At 43.5% G+C, this 6,000-nt stretch overlaps 1 protein-coding gene across 4 annotated transcripts in view, besides 5 other annotated features; it reads right to left on the reverse strand.

The window, feature by feature from the left end:
* The window catches only part of TRPS1 (transcriptional repressor GATA binding 1), a 260,480-nt gene extending 256,805 nt beyond the window's left edge, over positions 1-3,675 (reverse strand). For 3 of the 4 annotated variants that reach the window (NM_001330599.2, NM_001282903.3, NM_014112.5), the window contains exon 1: positions 3,245-3,675. Coding sequence is in view for 1 of the 4 variants with exons in the window: in NM_001282902.3 (NP_001269831.1) it covers positions 2,574-2,583 (10 nt within the window). In the remaining 3 variants the exon portion in view is untranslated. Of the gene's footprint in view, positions 1-2,573; positions 2,714-3,244 lie in introns of those variants that run through there. The other variant, NM_001282902.3, reaches the window with a different exon arrangement.
* Positions 1,043-1,132: an enhancer, noted in NCBI's record as "active region_27822". NCBI's record gives its function as "activates an Ori minimal core promoter by ATAC-STARR-seq in GM12878 lymphoblastoid cells {active_cell/tissue: GM12878}" and the evidence as "EXISTENCE:reporter gene assay evidence [ECO:0000049][PMID:35858748]".
* Positions 2,170-2,289: an enhancer, noted in NCBI's record as "active region_27823". NCBI's record gives its function as "activates an Ori minimal core promoter by ATAC-STARR-seq in GM12878 lymphoblastoid cells {active_cell/tissue: GM12878}" and the evidence as "EXISTENCE:reporter gene assay evidence [ECO:0000049][PMID:35858748]".
* Positions 3,270-3,319: an enhancer, noted in NCBI's record as "active region_27824". NCBI's record gives its function as "activates an Ori minimal core promoter by ATAC-STARR-seq in GM12878 lymphoblastoid cells {active_cell/tissue: GM12878}" and the evidence as "EXISTENCE:reporter gene assay evidence [ECO:0000049][PMID:35858748]".
* Positions 3,432-3,973: an enhancer, noted in NCBI's record as "H3K27ac hESC enhancer chr8:116680959-116681500 (GRCh37/hg19 assembly coordinates)". NCBI's record gives its function as "activates a minimal SCP1, AML or CMV promoter by ChIP-STARR-seq in primed H9 embryonic stem cells {active_cell/tissue: H9 hESC(primed)}" and the evidence as "EXISTENCE:reporter gene assay evidence [ECO:0000049][PMID:30033119]".
* Positions 3,790-3,949: a silencer, noted in NCBI's record as "silent region_19472". NCBI's record gives its function as "represses an Ori minimal core promoter by ATAC-STARR-seq in GM12878 lymphoblastoid cells {active_cell/tissue: GM12878}" and the evidence as "EXISTENCE:reporter gene assay evidence [ECO:0000049][PMID:35858748]".

The raw sequence follows: 6,000 nt of genomic DNA on the forward strand, positions 1-6,000 counted from the left end.
TTCTTAATAAAAATGTACACATCATTAATCACATATTGTGGGTTGTATGTCTGTACACACATACACATATACATCTAATAATAGTAGTGATAATAGAACCGTCACTGAAATACTAGAATCGTAAAAGCTGCTTTTCTACAGATGCATGCATTTCCCTGTTTTAAAGGTCTTCCTTATGAATGAATATTTCCTTATAGGAAGAGATCTATATGATGTAAATCAGAATAAACTCAGGAGTGGTAGGTGACTTAAATAATACTGAAAATATGGTAGTAGTATGTGTAACTTATTTCGGATTAGCACACTGATTCCGATCCTAAACTGGTTTTCAAACACGTATGCAGAAAATTTTATAAAATCATTTAAAATATTAGTCATCGAAATGCTAAGTTCTAAATTCAGCTCAGACTTCACAGCTATTATGACATTTTTCTCCTTACCTTTAACGTTACCTTTAAGAGACAAAGGACAAAACCTAAATAGTAGCACAGACCCTTACAGCATCTAGAATTCAAAGGAGTGACAAACTTTGTGTTAGTAACTTGCTACTTTCCACCACTTATTTGAAAAGTGTTAGACTTAGGTATTATGTATGGAAAAGCAGTCTACACATATATATCCTAACATATAACATACATATCAGGAAGCCATAAACATCAGCTCGCCAGTGGTAAATAATACTTCGCCAACAGAGTACTAATGAAGCTTCAGAAGGCCTCACATTCAGAGAAATCAAGTTATAATGTTGGTATTAAGGCTCTATTTGCCCCTCAGGAGTTTTATTTTCACATTATTAACATCCAGAAATAATCGTCAAACTTTAGCATGTTACTAGCCCTGTATATTGAACTGAATCTAGAGATGTTTTTATCCAAAGGTGTAGCTTTAAAAGGAAGTTATGAAATCCAAGGAGAGAGAAACTCTAAGAATATGTTTGACTTGTTAAGATTAAGCATATCATTAATAAACTTTCACTTAAAGGTAAAAAAAAAAAATCCTCAAAATGTTGGTATCATTTCCAGACTGTCCTGTCAGCATCAGAACTTACAGGAAACGCTTCATCTTCCCATACAAACCCTGTATTTATTCACAACCCTGGCATACTTGGGGAAAGAAAAAAAAAAAAGCCCACACGATTTTAGATCCTGTTTGCTTTTATACGTTAACTGGTGGAATATCTGAGAGAGCCTTCTAAGCAAATGAGCGGCATGTAAAACTTCACAACAGTGAGTTCAGAAACTTTCATTCTCATTTTGTCCACGTCAAGAACTGGCTGCCCGCATGACTTTCCTCTGCTGTCCCTTGCATTTTTAACTCTGGCAGCCTTTTCTAAATGATCAACTTTTTCTAAAACCAGCAGGAAAGTAACATGATGCCAGCAAGATCCATAGGTTTTAGCTTCAGAGCTGGAGGACTTTGAAGAATTGTTGGAAGGTTCCTATTTTATTTTTGCTTTGAACAATCAAGTTTTAGCCAACAACCAGGCCCAGAGTTATCATTTCTTTGTAATTTTGTCTCAGGCCCTATCTGTATTTTTCTTTTGTACTTATTATCTCTCCCAGACCCTTTCCTTTCCTGTTCACCTGGTGTGTTTACAAAAGTTCAATGAATCTACAAAAGTTCAATGAATAGGCCTAACTTGTCTCAGATTTAACTCCTCCGCTGAGCTTCTCACTTCACTTACCTCGCTTAAACTCTAGCCGTGATTTTCCAAAATGGCATAAGAATGAATATTCTATCATAATTTAGATTCATCATTAAGATCAATGGCTTACTCAAAAAACTTTCAAAGCATCAAATATGAGGCCTAAAAAGATAGAGGGAAGTAAAGCCGGTCCTAAAATTTAATAAGTCCAAGATTCCCTCTGAAACCCACCAGTCCTTCTCACCCTCTAACTTAAATTGCTTTAGAGTCCTGGGGCCATAAAACAGTTGCTGACTTCCCTGGGGAAAGGGGGAAACACCACCATCTCAGACAGGTACTAACGAAAAAGCTTTCCCAGCCACAAAAACAGCTTTACACTTCAAACAGCTCCCACCGCCGCCTCACCCTCAAATTATTCCTGGGGTCCTATAATCCTGGAGTTATTTGGAGGGACAGCGATGTTTGCCTTGGCCTTTCAAAGATGCGTTTCTCTAGATCCCAAACAGGAACCAGACAGAAGGCAAAGCGTCTGTCCGCTTGGATGTCCCACCGCTGTCAGGCATTTAATCACCGGCCAGTGTCCCCTGACCCGCGCGACACATGGCGCATCAACCGCATCGCAGAGGAAGTCTGCCCCTTCCTCAGCCCCTACGGAAGCGCCCGGGCTGCAAGGCCCTGCCACATGGTACGGACAGGGCACAGACCGCTCGGCCAAGCTGTCCTGAGCCGCTCTGAGGCGGGTGCACCAAGGGATGCGACACCCGCCTTCTCCAGAGCCCAGCTGGGCCTTTAAGGGAAAAAAGTTTGAAGCCTGCATTTGCAAACTCTTCAAAGCCAAAGGCAGTCCTGTGCTGTTTTCCCACTTTGGAGACCATACGGAGGCCCGTCTCTGAGACCCTCCCGACCCTCCCGAGTTCGCCCAACTTACTACTCTGCATGCTGGTGCCTAGTCTGCGCCCCGCTTGTCACGAGCCCCCAGAAAACTTGCAGTGGCGGCGGCGGCGGCGGCCCCTCGGGTCCAACCACCTCCAGCTCCTCCGCTGCGCCCGGTAGGAGAGAATTAAAATCAGCCAGAAAGAGACAGCGAGGGGGAGTGGGGCTGCGAGGGGGAGGGGGCACCGGCCTGAAACTTCTTTTTTTGGCAAATGGGGATTTGTTTTTCCTCCTCCCCGGCGGCTGAACTTGACCCTGCTGACTCCAGGGGCTACTGCAGTTTGAAGTCGCTGGTTTCCAAAGCTCAGATGCCTCAGACCCACCAAAAGGAGGAGAGGAAGGGGGAAAAAGGGAGCAGAAGAGAAGAAAGAAAGAAAGAAATCACACGCTCAAAAAGGAAGAAAGAAAATGCATGTGAAACCCGAGAAGCCTGCGCTTGGCTTTCTGCACACTCTCCCTCTGCTTTTTTTTTTTTTTTTTTTTTTTTCAAAGAAAGTCACTTTTAATTCCCAGGGCTCCCCGCTCGCGATCGCCCACATTTTGCGCGCACACGAGCGGGCGCTGCACTCGCGTCGCGGCGCCCCGGGCCCGGCCGAGGGGCGCCCGCGCCCCCCGCGCCCCCCGCAGCCCCCGGCCCCGCGGCCCGCTCGGGCCTCCCCTCCTTACCTGTTGATTAATCGTCAAGAACACCCTCGGCAGCCCGAAAGATGGTGGCGCGGCGGCCAAAGCCATGAACCGTCTTCTGTTGTTTGCAGAGTTGATCTTGGATTATTGCGGGGGGGAGAGAAAAAGGTCTTTCCTGCCTCCCCCCCCTTTCCCTCCCCCACCCTTATTAAAAAAGAGAGAGAGAGAGAGAGAGAGAGAAAGAGAAAGGAAATAGAGCAAGGATGTGCCCGGTGCCGGGTGGGAGAGGGGAGGGGGTGTTGTTTTTTGTTTAAAAAAAAAAAAAAGAAATAGGAAGGCGAGAGAGCAATCGAGAGGACGCGAGGTCTGGAGAAACCAGCAGCACCAAAAAAGAGGACGCTAGAGATTGCAGTAAGATCGGGTCTTTATCAGAAATGTTATCGCTTGTCAGGACCTCAGTCTCCGCGCATTACGTCAGTTTCAAGACACCAACACTATTAATATCAAAGGAGCCTTCGCGGAGGAAAGCGCCACCCCAGACCGAGCTCCCTTAAAGAGACAGCGCGCGTCCCCGCGCCGCCGCCGCCGCCCCGCCCGGCTCCGAGCACCCGCCGCCGCCGCCCGCCGGGACCGGCCCCGGCCGCGGCGAGCCGGCTGCGCGAGAACTTCGCCCGAGTCGGAGCGCCGCAAATGAGAGCGGCGCGGTGCAGGGACCCGGCTACCTTCCCGCCCCGCCTCTCCCCCCTCCTCCCTCCCCCACCTCCCGTCTGTGAACGTGCGGGCTGGAAAAGGAGGAAAAATCCGAACGCGTTAGGAATAATGTGATAAAGACGAGGACTTACCTTGGGGTAGTGGGGGGCAGGTGGGGGGCAGTGCGTGGCCGCCAAACCGACGTTCCCCAGACACTCAGAGATGCTAACAGAAACAATTTAAAGAACTCTCAAAGTCCTTTTACCTTTTCTGTTGTTACTTTCCCTTCTCTCTCCCAATTAAACGACGCAGGATGTGTGTGTGCGTGTGCGCCCCCTCCCCCGCCCTTTATCTGTGGCAAGAAGTCTTAGGACACCTAGTTGGTGATCAGGATTCCCCACGATTTTCACGGCAAGAAGGCTTGAGGAGAACAACTTGAACTCTATCCTGAGTTGGAGAAGTGCGGACTGAGGTTGCTATGGTTTTCTGAGCTAAAGAGAAGCCAGAAACTCAATGGGTGCTTTAAGGGGGTACCACAAAACAGACAAAATGGGAACATTATTCAAATGCTGCAAGATTAATACATGCAGTTTGGGTTTTAGTAGCAGATAAGGAACTCTGAATTAAGCGTGACATTCTTTTTTACCTACTTTACATCTCCATATACTCTCATTATTAAGAGAAATTGCCTCAACATAAAGTTCACTGGATTGAGCTTTTTTTTTTTTTTTTGACTTCTAAAGATCAACAATGCATAAAACATTACCATGACAGGATTCAAAGTATAGTAGGTGTTAAAAACAAAGTAAACATTTCTTGGGCGTTTGGACTTCATTTTCTTCAGTTGGGTGACTTTAAGTGGCATGTTTTTCCTCTGGTGAAAGTCAGTTTAAAGTAATTTTGTGCTAAAAGGAGAAGCATCTTTCCTTTTCCAAACTACAAAATGATTAAAATTAGAATCTTAGGTACAATCATGAATCTGAGAGCCGAAGATGAAGTAATTTCCTCCAAAATATTTTTCACTAAATGATTCTTGCATCTTTTTAGAGAAAAGATGGGTATATTTTCCAAACATACTATTATCAGAAGTGAAAAAGCCAATCATTTTAAAAAATTAAAACTGAAGTAGGTGCTTTTAGAACCTTATTCCTTTTTCTCTATGGTCTTTATTTAATATACCTAGTCAAGCAGATATGTGATTTTTTTTTTGTAGCACATTTATTCCAGAAGTATTTTGGTACCGTTTCCCATACACTCTTTATGAGTAGAAAACCAATAATTCTTTTGCAATAGAGAAACTAGTCAGGTGAAAAAGTAGTCAAAATACAGTTTCACAATGAGGCAAACAATATATTTCCTAAAGGAGAGAGAAGACAATGAGCCTCATATGCCTGGAGTTATTCATATGTTATCATCCATTTAAATTAATTTGAGAACAGAGTTAGATTTATATATAGTACTGCATGCCGGGAAAATTAATATCAAAATCTTCAGTAAATCTCATAGTCAGCTACTAATGACCACCTGCATATTTCCACACTGGAGTCATTTAATACTGTCCACCACCAATTTCCACTGTAAAATGTATTCACATATTAAATATAGACCTTTTATTTTCTTTTTTTAAGCCATAAATTAACTTGCTGACTTTTATGGAAATATGCACGGCACAGTGAGAAGCATTTTTATTAAAGGAAAAAAATAAGGATCTGAGTGAAACATTCTTGAGCCATGACTAACTAAAAATATTAAATCAATTTTGAAATATGTATTCGAACAGTAAGACTGTTTTGTATTGAAAGGGTTAATATCACCTAAAACTGCTGAAGCTGGTATCTAACTGATAAAATCTGAGGCTATAGCATCTTAGCAAAGTTAAATAGTACAATTTATCACAAGGATTAGGCCCCTAATCTCCTTCTGCTCCCCAAGATTTAGATGACATTTTAAAAGGGGAAGTGATCTTCCTCTCCATCACCCACAAATCTAAGGCAATCATCAAGACTGTAAATTTATTCACATGAAACAATCATTGATTAAATTGGTTCAAAAAAAAAATGAAATTACATGCTTTTGCAAGCACAAAGCCCTTGAGATGGCTGGTGTTT

This window comes from Homo sapiens, chromosome 8, assembly GCF_000001405.40.
Source record: "Homo sapiens chromosome 8, GRCh38.p14 Primary Assembly".
In the NCBI taxonomy this organism is placed as follows: Eukaryota; Metazoa; Chordata; class Mammalia; order Primates; family Hominidae; genus Homo; species Homo sapiens.